The sequence below is a fragment of the Homo sapiens genome, chromosome 10, assembly GCF_000001405.40.
Source record: "Homo sapiens chromosome 10, GRCh38.p14 Primary Assembly".
Classification (NCBI taxonomy): domain Eukaryota; kingdom Metazoa; phylum Chordata; class Mammalia; order Primates; family Hominidae; genus Homo; species Homo sapiens.
The window spans coordinates 42,733,774-42,750,715 of record NC_000010.11 but is presented as its reverse complement, the minus strand read 5'-3'; the positions used below and the strand labels follow the sequence as shown (position 1 = coordinate 42,750,715).

At 40.6% G+C, this 16,942-nt stretch overlaps 2 pseudogenes; one reads left to right on the top strand and one right to left on the bottom strand.

The window, feature by feature from the left end:
* On the top strand, positions 1,985 to 3,562 carry DUXAP3 (double homeobox A pseudogene 3; annotated as a pseudogene).
* RSU1P1 (Ras suppressor protein 1 pseudogene 1) lies at positions 11,896 to 16,009 on the bottom strand (annotated as a pseudogene).

Sequence of the window (16,942 nt, the reverse complement as noted above, 5' to 3'; positions counted from 1 at the left end):
ATGTGAGACCATGCAAATACTGAAATGAGATTGAATATCCAAAATATCAAACCACAATTATGGCTTTGCTTTACTTTTTGCCTGTTTAAGTGACATGTGGCCTACAATAGTTGGTAGGTATTCCTACCACAACCTTGCTTAGAATAGTGGTTGGCTAAATATAAACTTTAGAGATGAAGGTGGTTCTATACCCAGATTTCAGAGTGACTGCTATGTCCACTTTACTTTCTTTAAAATACATATTTTTTTCATTTTCATTTTCATTTTCTTCTTGGTTGACTTACTTTGGCTTAGGGATTTTTTTTTTCCCTTATGATCTCAAGAAATTTTTCTCATTTAAAAAGACATAATCGTGCCAGGTGTGGTGGCTCACGCTTGTAATCCCAGCACTTTGGGAGGCTGAGGTGGGTGGATCACCTGAGGTCAGCAGTTTGAGACCAGCCCGGCCAAAATGATGAAACCTCGTGTCTACTAAAAATACAAAAAATAGCTGGGCGTGGTGGCAGGTGCCTGTAATCCCAGCTACTCAGGAGGCTGAGGCAGGAGAATCGCTTGAACCCAGGAGGCAGAGGTTGCAGTGAGCTGAGATCACGCCATTGGACTCCAGCTGGGTGACAAGAGCGAAACTCTGTCTCAAAAAAAAAAAATTGTAACTTTTCCCATATAAAAAAAAAAAACACAAGATCTGGAATACAGAGAGAAGCATAAAGCTTTGCAGGTCATAGATGTAATCTTCCAGGAAAAATTTCTTTCAGATGTGACCAGAATTGGAAACATATTCCCTGCCGTCAGATAGCACTGGCTTAGGAGATGAATGAGGAGGAGTCTGCAGGCTACCTCGAGGATAAGAAGGAGGCAAAAGGCAAGCACAGGGGCAGCATGCACTCAGACTAGGGCTGCTCCTTCCTGGGCAAGTTTCAGAAACTCACTGACAGAGCTAGAAGCTCCCATAGAGATGAATGCCCACATTTTCCAGATGGGAGAACTGACGCTTAGAAAGGCTGAATGACTTGTCTAAGACTTTGGGGCCAGAACAGGGATCTTATTCCAGTATTTCTTGCATGAAACCATTCTACTTTCCACGTTTCTAATTTATAACTTTTTAAAGGTCATTTTAAAAAGGAAATAACATAAACATCAAGTCTGGAGGCTAGTGGTGGGATTATTCGCATTTATTTTTCCACTTGACTTGACATTTCAGGGCAATAGTGATGCTTAAGTAAAACCAAAATTATCCTGGGAATATAAAAAATAATATATCTGTTTACATTTTGGTGTGGGATGAGTAGAATCTTGTTTTCAAATTCCTTGTTTGAAAGGCTATTAAGAAGAATACATCCTCACTTAACAGTTTTCTAATTCCTTGGTGGTATCCTCTGTCCCTTGGTAACATGTGAAAGTAGAGCACACTTTTCTATTTTTGTTCCTGCTGCACCCCTCATAAGGTGAAGCACGCATAGAGCACTCCCAGGGTCAGTGTGAGCCCAGTACCAGCTCAGGCTGCCGATGATCCAGAGTCGGATTCCACCTTCCACTCAAATGGCAGCCACAGGTAGACGTGCCCATCACAACCAACTCCGTGCGGTAATAATCTCTGTTTATTCTACAAGTGGTTTCCACACGAAAAATGGCACAATGTTTCTCCGAGGATAACTACATAAAAATCAGCATACTTAAATTCACAGCAAATATTCAGACAATTGATGAAAACACTTACCCAAACAGTAATTGTAGACTATGCCTTCTGAATATATTTTTCATAAACTTGCAGTAAGGAATCCTCACAGGCACTGAACAATTCAAAAAACGCAAAGCTGTTTGTTAGAATACTGGTGATTTCAGGTAGAAACTCATGCATATCCTGGTAAGGGTTGAAGTTGCACAGGTGTTTTCATTTGTCAAAGCCCAGAAAACCATAAGCTTTAGATTTGTAAATTATGTTGTATTATATGCAACCTTTCTTTTTAAAAATGAGCTGTAAGTGGTCTCCCAGACAGTAGCTCAGCCTCCAGGACTCTCTTCCATCATGGCCAAAGACACCTCTTCACACAAGATGGTAGCAGCAAATCATAGGTGCAATCACACCAAATTCACAGAAGATCAATTGAAAATCCTCATCAATACCTCCAATCAAAAATCTTACCCAGGTTATGCTATGAAACAAAAACTTGCTTTAGAAATCAATACAGAAGAGTCCAGAAGGCTTGTTTAATGCTTCTAAGACTTTTCAGTGGGTTAGTCTAAATGATAAGTGTATTTTTAAAATTTTTAATAAAAATGTATAATTTTTAAGTAAACCTTTCTGTTAACAGTCTTGATTAGAGGATTTTAATTATGCTTAGAGATAATACATCTGTATCTTCTTCTATTTCATTTGAAAAGTACCACTTTTCAATGTCACACCCATAATGAGGCAGAGTCTAGCTCTGTTGCCCAGGCTGGAGTGCAGTGGCATGATCTCAGCTCACTGCAATCTCCAACTCCCAGGTTCAAGCAATTCCCTACCTCAGCCTCCGGAGTAGCTGGGATTACAGGCACACACCACCACACCTGGCTATTTTTTTGTATTTTTAGTAGAGATGGAGTTTCACCATCTTGGCCAGGCTGGTCTTGAACTCCTGACCTCATGATCCACCCACCTCCATCTCCATCTTCCAAAGTGCTGGGATTACAGGCATGAGCCACCGCGCCTGGCCTTTTTTTTTTTTTTTTTTTTTTTTTTTTTGAGACAGAGTCTCGCTCTGTCACCCAGAATTGAAGAGCTAGGCACAGATTCCAGAAAAGACCAGAACCTGACTTTAGATTCAAGCCACAGCCATGGGCAAGATCAACCTGGTGTGGAATTTCAAAGTAGAGAAGCCAGACAGTGTCATACCACCTATAGCGCCTCTCAATTACACACTCTCATCAAGGCATTTATGATAAACCCATACCCTGGGATTGATTCCAGAGAACAACTTGCTGAAGAAATTGGTGCTCCAGAGTCAAGAGTCCAAATTTGGTTCCAAAATCAAAGATCTATATTTCATCTCCACAGAAAAAGAGAAACTGTTGTGTTCTTAGAACAAGAAGACCAGGGGCAAGATTTCTGAGGGACTTCAAGGTACAGAAAACACACAAAATGACACCAACCTCACTAGCACTCTCATTTCTCTAGAGCCATAACATGGTGAACACAGTCAAGTTCAGTGTATTTGGTATTATCAACTTAGGCCCCAACTCTCTCTCACAGTCTTCCTGGGAATCTATCCTTTTGCTGAAAGTGCAAGTTAAGCCTTCTGAAGATGGTAAAGAACTTGGCCGGGTGTGGTGGCTCACGCTTGTAATCTCAGCACTTTGGGAGACTGAGGCAAGAAGATTGCTTGAGCCCAGGAGTTTGAAACCAGTCTGGGCAGCATAGTAAGACCCTGTCTCTATAATAAAAAACAAAATAAATAAAAAGGACTGTAGGAGGCCGAGACAGGTATAGGAGGCACCACACTACCCTATTGACACAGCCTGGATCCAGAGTTTGGCAGAACTTGAGACAATGAAAATAAACTTAGTAATAATCATTTTTCAATCATCGCAGTAATTATTGATTTGGACAAAAATCAGTTGACAGCAAAACCTTAAAGTGACGCTGCTCTGCCTATGGAGTAGCCTTTCTTTTATTCCTTTAGTTTCTTAATAAATTTTCTTTCACTTAAAAAAAACCTTATAGTTTGACAAAGAATGAGATATATACCTCATCTCAAAGAATTTTCTCACACACAGTTATTAATTACAAAAGGAAAATGCGTAATTTTGCAGTGGAGAAATATGGCCAACTCCATCTTAACCAAGTGGCTGGTAGTCACCGCACCAGTAACGGCACAAACCAATGTGAGATGCTTCCTGATACAATACACTAAAAAGGGCACAGTCTTTTCTGCATGTTGCTGACAAAAAGTGGGTAAGCTGAAACTGAAACTAATAATTAGGCAATGTCAAGCAAACACGAATTCAGGTTGACAGTCTGCAAAGTAACATCCATGTACTCTTCAGCAATGGATTGATCCTAGCTACTCAGGAATCTGAGGCGGGAGGATTGTTTGAGGCCAGGAGTTCCAGATCAGCTTGGGCAACATGATGAGACCCCATCTCTACAAACGTCTTTTTAAAAATGAGCCGGGCAGGGAGCGGCGGCTCACGCCTGTAATCCCAGCACTTTGGGAGGCCGAGGTGGGCGGATTACGAGGTCAGGAGCTCAAGACTGTCCTGGTTAACACGATGAAACGCCGTCTCTACTAAAAATACAAAAAATTGGCCGGGCATGGTGGCGGGCGCCTGTAGTCCCAGCTACTCGGGAGGCTGAGGCAGGAGAATGGCGTGAACCCAGGAGGCGGAGCTTGCAGTGAGCCGAGATCGCGCCACTGCACTCCAGCCTGGGCGACAGAGCGAGACTCTGTCTCAAAAACAAAACAAAACAAAACAAAACAAAAACCAGGTGTGGTAGCGTGCATCTGTAGCCTCAGCTACTCAGAAGCCTGAGGCAAGAGGATAGTTTGGACACAGGAGATCGAGGCGGCAGTGAGCTATGATCGTACTACGGCACTCCAGCCTGGGCGACACAGCACTTTTCTGTTTCCAGACAACAACAAGAAAACAAAAAGATGGATAGAATAATGGCAATAAAATGGAGAAAAAGTAGGCTGACTCAGGAAATGCTTAGAAAGTGCAGCCATACCTCAAAGATATTGTGGATTTGGTTCCAGACCATCACAATAAAGCAAATATTGCTATAAAGCGAGTCAAACAAATTGTTTTGTTTCCTTGTGAATATAAAGTTATATTGACTGGGTGTGATGGCTCATGCCTATAATCCCAGTACTTTAGGAGATGGAGGCGGGAGGATCACTTGAGATGGAGGTTGCAGTGAGCCGAGATCACGCGACTGCCCTCCAGCCTGGGCAACGGAGTGAGATTCAGTCTCAAAAAAAAAAAAAAAAAAAGAAAATTAGCCAGGCGTGGTGGTAAGCACCTGTAATTCCATTTACTAAGGAGGCTGAGGCAGAGAATTGCTTCAACCTGGGAGGCAGAGGTTGCAGTGAGCCGAGATCAGGCCACTGCACTCCAGCCTGGGCAACAGAGCGAGACTGGGTCTTAAAAAAAAAAAAAAAAGGCCGGGCGCAGTGGCTCATGCCCGTAATCCCAGCACTTTGGGAGACCGAGGCAGGTGGATCACAAGGTCAGGAGTTCAAGACCAGCCTGGCCAAGATGGTGAAACTCCATCTCTACTAAACATACAAAAAATAGCCAGGTGTGGTGGCATGTGCCTGTAATCCCAGCTACTCTGGAAGCTGAGGTAGGGAATTGCTTGAACCTGGGAGTTGGAGGTTGCAGTGAGCTGAGATCACACCACTGCACTCCAGCCTGGGCGACAGAGCTAGACTCTGACTCATTATGGGTGTGACATTGAAAACTGGTGCTTTTCAAATGAAATAGAAGAAGATACAGATGTATTATCTCTAAGCATAATTAAAATCCTCTAATCAAGACTGTTAACAGAAAGGTTTACTTAAAAATTATAATTTTTTATTAAAAAATGCACTTATCTTTTAGACTAATCCACTGAAAAGTCCTAGAAGCATTAAACAAAACAGAAGCAGAAAGCTCCTTGGTGCCATAACTTTGGATTCTCCATATCATCACTCACTAAAAGGAACCAAAGCTTTTTGGAGAAATGGCTGCTTTCTGGCTGCAGGCAGGCAATGTGCAAAATCAGTCTAGAGCATCTTGTCATACTGGAAAGCAAGGGCACGTTTATACCCCCCAGGATCATGTCCATAGGATCTGAGAGGCAACTTGAAGGAGGTCCCACTATCCAAACATGAACTAATATAAGCATCAATAATAATGATGACCACAAGCCAGCCATGGTGGTTCACACCTGTAAGCCCAACACTTTGGGAAGCTAAAACAGATGGATTGCTTTAGCCCAGATGTTCAAGACAAGGCTGGGCAACATGGTAAAACCCTCTGTCTGCCAAAAATAGAAAACAAAAAAATTAGGCAGGCATGGTAGCATGTGCCTGTAGTCTCAGCTACTTGAGAGGCTGAGGTGGCAGGGTCACCTAAGCCCAGGAGTCTGAGGCTGCAGTGAGCTTTGATCATGCCACTGCAGTCCAGCCTGGGCCATAAAGCAAGATTCATCTCAAAAAAACCCAAACAAACAAAAATAATGATGATGATGATGATGATGATGATGATGACTGCAATGAGCAGGTGCACACCTGATGTTTAAATCATCAAGCTTATAATGATATTAAAGCATGCAGTCAATAGAATAAATACATCATCCAGATATTGGAATTAGCATTAAAAGACTGCAGTACTCCCCCTTTACCTGTGGGGCGTACTTTGGAAGACCTCCGTGGATCTCTTAAACCATGGATAATACCAAACCCTACCTTAGCACTTACCACACACTGTGGCTGTAGCTTTTGCAGTTTGAGGTACAAAAGCAAAACTAGCAATAATTTATTTTTCCTTTTCCACAATTTTACAAATAAAAGATTAATTCTTACCCTAGTTGTTAGCGACCTCAGCATATTTTTTTTCCTCACTAAGTGGAAAACTTTCTGCTTTTCAGTTACTGAAAGCATTTTCAGGTTTCTCTTTTGCATATCTGAATTGCCAGCATCACTACTCTTGCATATTGGGACCATTACTAAATAAAATAAGGGTTACTTGAACACAAACACTGCTACACTAAGCTAGGTCCATCTGATAACTTAGATGGCTGCAAATGTCTAATGAGCAGGAAGCAGGAAGTGTGGATCTGCCCAGCAAAGGGATATGTCGCATCCTGAACCGGATACAGCAGAATGGCGGGAGGTTGCATCACATTTCTCAGAACAATGCATGACTTAAAACTTATAAACTGTTTACTTCTGGAGTTTTATATTTAATATTTTTTGACTGTGGGTGACTGAAAGTGAGGAAAGTAAAGCCACAAATAAGGGGATACTACTATATTATAGATATGCTCAAGGACTGAAATAATAATAATATTGAGTAAACATGTGTGAAATCTCAGTAGAGATAAAAACTTAAAAAAATTAAAATTCGAGTACTTAAAAATGCAATATCTTACAGAAAAATTTCATTAGACTGAGAAGAGGCAGGAGAATAATTCCCAACATTTATTTTTGAAAAATCAACCCATTTTTGGCCAGGCATGGTGGCTCACACCTATAATCCTAGCATTTTGGGAGGCAAAGGCAGGCAGATCATGAGGTCAGGAGATCGAGACCATCCTACCTAACACGATGAAACCCCATCTCTACTAAAAATACAAAAAAATTAGCTGAGCATGGTGGTGGGTGCCTGTAGTCCCAGCTACTTGGGAGGCTGAGGCAGGATAATGGTGTGAATCTGGGAGATGGAGCTTGCAGTGAGCTGAGATCTTGCCACTGCACTCCAGCCTGGGCGACAGAGCAAGACTCTCTCTCAAAAAAGAAAAAAAAATCAACCCATTTTTAATTTCTTCAAGTGCTTTCTAGGATTTTAGGAAAGCAGAATACTACTTAGAAAACTGGTAAATAAAAAAGTAACTGATAAATAGAAAATGGTAAATAAAGGGAAAGAATCCCATATTTATTCTACCTTTTCTCTACAAGCAGTACCTCAGGGTAACCAAAGAAATAATGAAGAAAAACTATCTACAAAAGTTTTCTATTTAATATATGAAAGAAGAATAATAGAATTAAAATGGCTCAATTTCTTGACCTCTAATTTAATCAGTTTTGGAAGTTATCATCCCTGCTGCTCTTGGTTTGGTTCAGCCAGGAAAACAGCCAATTAAGTATTATAGAAATAAACAGTTTAATATAAGAATTAGTGCCTACATTCTTGTGCATCTAAGCAGAAAAAAAAATGAAGGTTTGGCAGGTTGCCTACAGAAAGTCAGAAACACAATCACAAATGGCCTCAGCTGAAAACACTGATATAGGAGGGAAAGCAACAGCTCATGAAGAGTCCAGGAAACTTCTGTATTCACCAGGATTATGAAGTACATGCTCATGCGAGGTCTATGATGGGGCTATATCTGGATGCTAGAATTGCTGAGAAGAAACTTGTTAAAAGCTGTGAAAGTCTCCATGCCTGGCTGCCAAAAATTGCTCACAGTGACTTCGGCTTTACTTTTGTCTTTGGAATTGTGTGTGAATTTTCTCTATTTGCAAATTTTATGAGGATTCATTTAGGGAAGAGAGTTCTAGAATACAGGCTTCTTAGTTTTAGAAAACTGTAGTGGTTGCTGCCAAGTTGGCAAAATAATTCAAAACAGCTGCTAATATCACAAAAAGAAAGACAACTAGAAATAATGTTTGGGTAGAAAAACATAATGTTGTCTATGAAATATTCTTGAAAAAAATCTAAACAGTTCCTTAAACTTTCATTTTTTTCTAAAAAACACTTAGTTATAAGGGTTAATGGAAGACATCCTAAAACTCTTCTGTTGTGGGAACTCAGGGACCCCGAACGGAGGGACCAGCTGGAGTTGTGGCAGAGGAACATAAATTGTGAAGATTTCATTTTAATATGGACATTTATCAGTTCCCATATAATACTTTTATAATTTCTTATGCCTGTCTTTAATCTCTTAATCCTGTTATCTTCGTAAGCTGAGGATGTACGTCACCTCAGGACCACTGTGATAATTGTGTTAACTGTACAAATTGATTGTAAAACATGTGTGGTTGAAGAGTATGAAATCAGTGCACCTTGAAAAAGAACAGAATAACAGCGATTTTTAGGGAACAAGGGAAGACAACCATAAGGTCTGACTGCCTGCGGGGTTGGGCAAAAAGAGCCATATTTTTCTTCTTGCAAAGAGCCTATAAATGGATGTGCAAGTAGGGAAGATATCGCTAAATTCTTTTCCTAGCAAGGAATATTATTATTAATACTCTGGGAAAGGAATGCATTCCTGGGGGGAGGTCTATAAATGGCTGCTCTGGGAATGTCTGTCTTATGCTGTTGAGATAAGGACTGAGATACGCCCTGGTCTCCTGCAGTACCCTCAGGCTTACTAGGGTGGGGAAAATCTCCGCCCTGGTAAATTTGTGGTCTGACCGGTTCTCTGCTCTTGAACCCTGTTTTCTGTTGTTTAAGATGTTTATCAAGACAATACGTGCACCGCTGAACATAGACCCTTATCAGTGGTTCTGCTGTTGCCTTTTGTCCTGTTCCCTCAAAAGCATGTGATCTTTGTTAGACCCTATTAGTAATTCTGCTTTTTGCCCTTTGAAGCATGTGATCTTTGTACCTACTCCCTGTTCTTACACCCCCTCCCCTTTTGAAACCCTTAATAAAAACTTGCTGGTCTGAGACTCAGGTGGGCATCACAGTCCTACCGATATGTGATGTCACCCCCGGTGGCCCAGCTGTAAAATTCCTCTCTTTATACTGTCTCTCTTTATTTCTCAGCCAGCCGACACTTATGGAAAATAGAAAGAACCTACGTTGAAATATTGGGGGCGGGTTTCACCAATACAGATTCTCATATTCTGGTGATTAAGATGGGAGCATCTGTGGGGGTGTCCATTTCACACAGAGTAAAAGCCCAAGTTCTGACAATGTCCTACTAGTTCCCATGTGAACCAGACCCCACTTCCTGTATAAGCTCATTGGTTACAACTCTTTCCCCTTCACTCACTCTGTTCCAGGTACCCGGCCTTGCTCTTCCTCAGCACAAGCCCATCCAGGACATTTGCACTTACCGTTCTCTCTGTCAGGAGACCTCCCTCCTTCCTTTAAGTCTCTGCATAAAGGGAACCACCCTATGAGTGAGGGTTTCTCTGATTACCCCTTCCCCAGCTGGACACTCCCTTCCATGCTCAATTTTTTCCCAGAGCTCTTAATATCACACGTCTGTCATTCATATTCTTTCTTTCTCTCTCTCTTTCTTTCTTCTGTCCTCTCCCACTAGAACATCATCAATAACGGGTGTTCTGTCTCTTGTCATAATCCTTAGCAAATACCAGGGGCTCAACAAACAGTTGTTGAATAAGTGAATCTTACTTTAATGGAAAAGCAATTTCCTTGGACTCAAAGATCTGCCCTAAAGTAGGAACTTAACCTGAATAAATAAATGAATGAATGGGTACAGGAGAGACTCAACTTACATCTCATTTTTGATAGGTATAAAGACTAATATGAAAGCAGTGCTTTACTACTTAGAAATCAGACATAACGGTTTAAGTGGCTTATTCAAGGACACACAATAAAGGGAAAGTAATACAGTCACATATTAAAACTCCAGCTAAGCCCCTGACTTTATTTTGCTGTGTCCCTGCATGTTCTCAGACCTGACAAATCAGAACTTATCTAGATTCTCTTGCTTGGCTGAAATATTAGTACCAAAAAGGTTACAAGTTAATAAACTCTGGATTTATTATGAAAGGAAATTTCACAGAAATCTCAAAAGCATTTATCTTGTATATTCAGATACATAAAAAATATACAGGGAGATATCATCATCCATGCTTTAAAACACCCCCAGAAGCAAACCTGCAGCATAAACTTCATGTGCATCATCAGTGCCCGGCACTGCCCATCAGCCAGCCCAGAGCAGCATCCATATGGTCACCTCAGGTGTTGGGGACACAAAGAAACAAAAAAGACGTTCCCATCGGGGGTCATGTTTGTTGAGGGGAAAGAGACATGGGGACAATGCAACTGACTTGGAATGGGGCAGCAATTTGTCTTCCAGAGGCCATCTCAGCTGCATTTTGCAAAGTGTTATGCTAGCCTTGCTCACACACCAGCAAAGCCCATGCCAACTCACCATCCAGCAACATCTCTCTGCCTGCTTTTTTTGGGGGGGTGTGCCAGGGTTGTGTTTTGTTCAAACTTGAAAACTGCATTTCTAGGAATCCTTTTACCAGCATATGGGTGGGAAAGAGGACCACACCGTGATGAGGAAGCTGGACCCAGAGGAGGGACTGTCAGGTTCAAATCTCACCTCTGTGACTCACTAGCTGTGTCCCCCACAGACATGTCACCAACCAACCCTCTCTACACCTCAACGTCCTCACCTCTAAAAAGTCTGCTTATAATTCTTATGATAATTGTAGGCGACATTGCAGGAAAAACACTTATCTTAGTGCCTTGCAATTCCAGGCCTTAATACACACTACCTATTATTATAATAGCTGTTACTATATTAGTATTATATTAATGTTGACTTTTAAAAAAAATCACCATTCAAAAATAAATAGTACATTTGTCTTCATCTTGAGTTTAGCTCGTGACAGTGACTTCTAAAGGTTTATCATTTACTTACAACTAAGTGTTTGCCTATAATCAGGAAAACCTGCTATCAGGCAAATGTTAAGATTAAGCTTTTCTACATATGGCTGGCAAAAATAAAGTCATTTAAAGCCTTCCCCCTCAATTCTACACCTGAATAAAAATATACATGAGTTGTTAATGGAAAGCTTAACAGAAATGTTGAACAAAGATGACCTCATATAGTATTTAAATAAGATAAGCAAAATGAGTAACATTTTAAAATATATACATAGGCACGTGTAGGTTCAACTAGACATTTTTCTGGCAAATTACTGTCTGATAAAATAATTGTTTAATCTAATATCCTACATTGCCTCACTGCTTGAAAAATGAAATAAGATCAAATGACATCAAAATATACATTTATTTTTCTGTTTCTACTAACCACGCTAACCAAGGACACATGTCAGAGGCATTAAGTGAGCTTTACACCAAGTTACACAAGAATTCACCTCACACATGGAGATCCTGATTTAGTAGGCTGGGGAGGAAGCAAGTGTTTGAGTTCTGTAGAAGCTCCCCAGCTGTTACTAATGATAACACCTGTGGTTATTAACCACTGTGCAAGATCTCTCTTTTTTTTTTCCCCCTTTCAACACGGTCTTGTTCTGTCACCCAGGCTGGAGTGCAGTGGCACAATCATGGCTCACCGCAGCTTTGACCTCCCAGGCTTAGGTGATCCTCTCACCTCAGCCTCCTGAGTAGCTGGGACTACAGGCATGCACCACAATGCCCAGCTAATTTTTTGTACTTTTTGTAGAGATGGGGTTTCACCATGTTGCCCAGGCTGGTCTCAAACTCCTGGGCTCAAGCAACCCACCCGCTTCGGCCTCCCAAAGTGCTGAGATTACAAGTGTGAGCCACCGTGTCCAGCCCAAGATCTCTCCTTTGACAAGAAGCTTTTTGCCTTGAAATTGTTCGCAAAAAGTGTTTCTTGATTCTGTAACCCTGCTCCCAAAACAAAACTTGACTGCTTGCAACTCAATAAAGAGAAATGTTGAGTTGCTCCTCAGCCCTTAAAAATAATTAAATAAACCTCTGGTCTTTTAACACTAACAAGAGAGTTAAGGGAAATGGGAAGGGAGGAGGCGGGACTTTCCATCTGTTCCATGAAATCATGTGACTGCCTTCCCTTTAGACTAATAAGGCTGCCAACAGAACTCTCAGTGCTGATGGGTGTGCTCTGTGTCTCAGTCTTCCTATGCGTAACCATTAGCCCCATCGGCCTGCTCATAACCTTCCTAACCTCTTGCCATCCAAGGTCCTTGCTTCTTTCATTCATTCAGTCAATGTTTTCTGAGCAAGTACTGCACCCCAGGGAACAAATGCGAAAATGCCTCTGCCCTCCTGGTGCTTGCATTCTAATTTCTAACAAATGGCCTCTTCAAACTGCCAGACTTGTTTAAAGAACTGCTTCCTTAATGTGTTTCTTAAAAATGATGGTATTTTGGGGCAGAAAAGCAAATAACCGCAGTTTGAGAAAACAATGTGGTTCAAAGGATTAAAGAAATTAGAGGCTATTGAGGGTCTGCACAGGAAAAGATAAGGGAACTTGGGAACCTTTTGCAGTGGAATGAAGCAGTAACAGAATGACTGGCTTGGAGGTTACTTCTGGCGGGGGACATAAACCCACTCCGGAAATAGGAATGACTTGTTAGAGGATTAGGATTCAGTGGCCAGAAGTAGGACCCATTCCCAGCAAGAACATATTTAACAATTCCTACTAGAAATGGGATCAGGAGAGAGGCAAATTCACGACCAGGAGAGGTATCAACATCTTCAAGTAGCCATAACAACTACTTTAATTCTTTGCTAAAAGTTTTTCTAGGTCAATAAAAAAGTAAGGGGTTAAAAAGTAAGAGTGATACTTCGATAAAGTTATCAATAACAACCAAGACCCAGAAAGCTTACCCAGCTAGTCAACGAGGAGCCATGCATAAGGCTCTTACTACTAACCCCATGCTTTTTCCACTACATCATGCAGGGAGCTGAGCAGGGTCATCTTTCATCAGCAGTTTCTAAGACACGGGAGACTACAGCTGCAGAACACAGCATCGGGGAAGGTCAAACCTATAGCAGCTGAACTCTGGTCAATGACAAATGGTTCTCAAATGATCAGAACTGGGTGTCTAGGTGGAGAGCAGTTGCCAAGAAGAGGAGAGAGGTTGTTCAGAATTGCTACATTAGGATAATTGTTACTCATGAAACCCAGAACTAAGTTCATTCATCAGCAAACTTACCTAATTCTGGGGGTAGAACAGTGAGGCGGTTCCCCTGAATGTGGAGCTCTTTAAGCTGGGTAAGCACCCTGATTTCCTTAGGCAGTGAGATCAGGTTGTTATCCCTATTGCTGAGCTAAACAGAAGAAAACAGGGAGTTGTCAACACATTTTCACATTAAAAGGTGCTCCACAGAAACTCTCATCTTCCTCCATGTCCTCTCTTCTACCACAGCTCAGTCCTTTCCATTTATTTACAAGCGCCGGCAGATAATCAAGAAACACTATCAGAAGCAGTGGTTTATTCCTGCAAAACAAACCTGACTCCTTCTCAGATTGACTTGATTCTACCCCTACAAGGCTGCAGCAGTGAATTGATTCTCTAAGAATTTAGATAACTTACTTACTATCTGCAACTTTGTGAGCTTCCCAATATCTGGCGGCAGGATTTCAAAATCGTTGTCACTTAGATAGAGTGCACACAGGGTGGCTGCAAATTAAACAGCAATATATAAACAGGGTGGCATGGAACCCAACCATTTGAGGTCTGATCAATACGAGGGAGTCAGCTTTGATTAATAACCCTGGCTTGGTGAAAAGCCTTTGACATACCTAGGGCTCCCAATAATAACAAGCAGGTCAAACTTACATTTACTGGCTTATTGTTGTGGAGCTGGTGTGTCCAGGAAAACATCTATATCCAAGAGGACTGATACAATTAACAACGTAGGCACTAGCATTTTGGGGCACAGAGTTTCAACACATTTTCAAAAAAGATTGCTATTTTTCTCACAGATTACTTTTGATTCACATTTATTTCTCCATTTGCATCCAAAGTAAAACAAAGAAAACTACTGTGCCACTTTTGTGGATACCTAGGGCAAAAAGGTTCTTTCAAGGGAATGCAACTATGTTAAAATAGACTTTTTCCTATGTAAATAGCATTGTGTTAAAAATTAATGAAAGGCTTTCTGGTGATGGAGGCTATAACTACAGCTCATCAGTCCATAATCTGACTAATTATTACTACTTGTTTCTACAGCCTTAAGGACAAAAGTAAATGAAGACAAAGGGACTAAAATAATGGCATGAAGTTAACAGAGTAAATCCTAACTTAAGCAGAATATCAGTAGTCAGAAATTTGTTCACAATTACTACACAATGATAATATGATTCCAAACTATTGAAGGCTAAAATTCTAAAGCATCTGTTTATCCTCAACCAAAAAAGCTGAGTATAATTAGAGGTATGTTTTGTTTATCAGTATTTATTTATTTTTTAGAGACAGAGTCTCGTTCTGTCACCCAGACTGGAGTGCAGTGGGTCACTGCAGCCTCAAATTCCTGGCCTCAAGCAATCTTCCTACCTCAGCCTCCCAATTAGCTAAGATTACAGGCACATGCTACTATGCCTGGTTAATTTTTTAATTTTTGTTTCTAGAGACAGGGTCTCTCTATGTCGCCCAGGCTGGTCTTAAACTCCTAGCCTCAAGTGATCTTTGGAGCTCAGACTCCAGAACTGTATGTTAATATAACATAATAAAAACAGGGGCTTCACCACCCAAGAAAATATTTTACAGTTGGTTTCATGTGCTTGAGAAAGTCACAGAGAGAGAACGTACATAAGGCAAAAAGTGAAATTTTAGAGACCAGCTCAGAAAATTCAGATTTTCTGAATGCCATATAAGTTACTAATTGAAGAAATAGAACACTCATTTAAGAGAAACAAACCTTGTCTGAAATAGTGCATGAGTTCCCAGAAGAAATCATTTTTTAATTTTCAAAAGCATCTTCAGCAAGAAATTTGTTGGCATATAAAAGAATAAGGTGTGTTCACCTGTGGCCAATAATTTCTTAATGCCTGTGTACTGGATAAATAGGTCAATAAGAGTACTTTTTAAAAGGCTGAAAATAAGAATCCTGGCTGGAAAATTTAAAAATTCCATTAGTGGTTTATTAATAAATATTTTTATAATTAATTGATTGGGACATCCTGGAAAATATCGTACAAAGAATTAATACCAACATGGGAGGATATCTTTTTTTGGCACGCTATTTAAAAAGAAAGTCAAGTCTCTTAGCTAAATGTGAGGTTTGATCTCATTTAGGTATATCATCTCTCTCAGAATGTTAATATGACTTTACTAAGTCCACTTCAGCCCAATGGTGTCACATAACGATATATCAAATGCACATACGCTGAGCTATGAAGGAATATTCAAAAGGAGTCTCTAAAGAAAAAGTTATCTCTGTCCAATAATTTCTCTTGGAGTTTAAGTCCTGGCAAATAAATTTCACTCTTAGAATGCAAAGTATAATGTTGAGGAGATTCATAGAACTGAAAGTTTCTTACTCAGGTAGAAGAAGTTTCCAGGAAGATAATTTTCATTCAAGTTGTTGTAAGTCAAGTCCAGAACCTCAAGAGCTGGCAGGGAGCCAAAGCCTTGTGGCGAAATGTTCAGCCTGTTCATGCTGTTGCAGGGGGACAAAAATCTACATCAGGACACCAAAGACACATTTATAGAGACTATCAAGGGCACCTCAGTTTCACAGGCTGAAAGTGTAAGAGAGTGCCATGATCCTAGAGTCACTTTATACTTTATTTTTATTTTTATTTTTTTTGAGATAGGGCCTTGCTCTGTTGCCCAGGCTGGAGTGCAGTGGCACGATCTTGGGTCACTGCAGCCTTGACCTCCATGGGCTCAAGCGATCCTTCCACTTCAGCCTCCCAAGTAGCTGGGACCACAGGTGCACACCATCATACCCCACCAATGTTTGTATTTTTTGCAGAGATTGGTTTTTGCCGTGTTGCCCGGGCTGGTCTCAAACTCCTGAGCTCGAGCCATCCTCCCACTTTGGCCTCCCAGAATGCTGGGATCATAGGTGTGAGTCAACACATCCATCCTATTTTTTTTTTAATTATAAAAATCATTTATGTAAAATTTATATTGACAAATGAAGATTGTACATACCTATGGTGTACAACATGATACTTCTGATATATGTATAATCCATCATGGAATGGCTTAAATCACACTGTTTAATATACGCATTGCCTCATATCATATGCTTGTCATTTTTTTGTCTTTTGTGGTGAGAATGCTTAAAATTCACTCTCTTAGCAATTTTCAAATATGCTACATATTGTTATTGACTGCAGTCACCATGATATACAATCCATCTCTTGAACTTACTTCTCCTGTCTAACTAAAATTTCGTGTCCTTTGGCAATTTCCCTCTCCCTCCAGCCTCTGGTAACCATTTTATTCCCTGTTTCGATGAGGTTTACTTTTTTACATTCCACATATAAGTGAGATGATGTGGTATGTTGTCTTATTTAAACTAATAATTTTAGAGAACTTATATATTCCTGAAACATTTGGAAATTTCTTAGTTGTCATTTTTC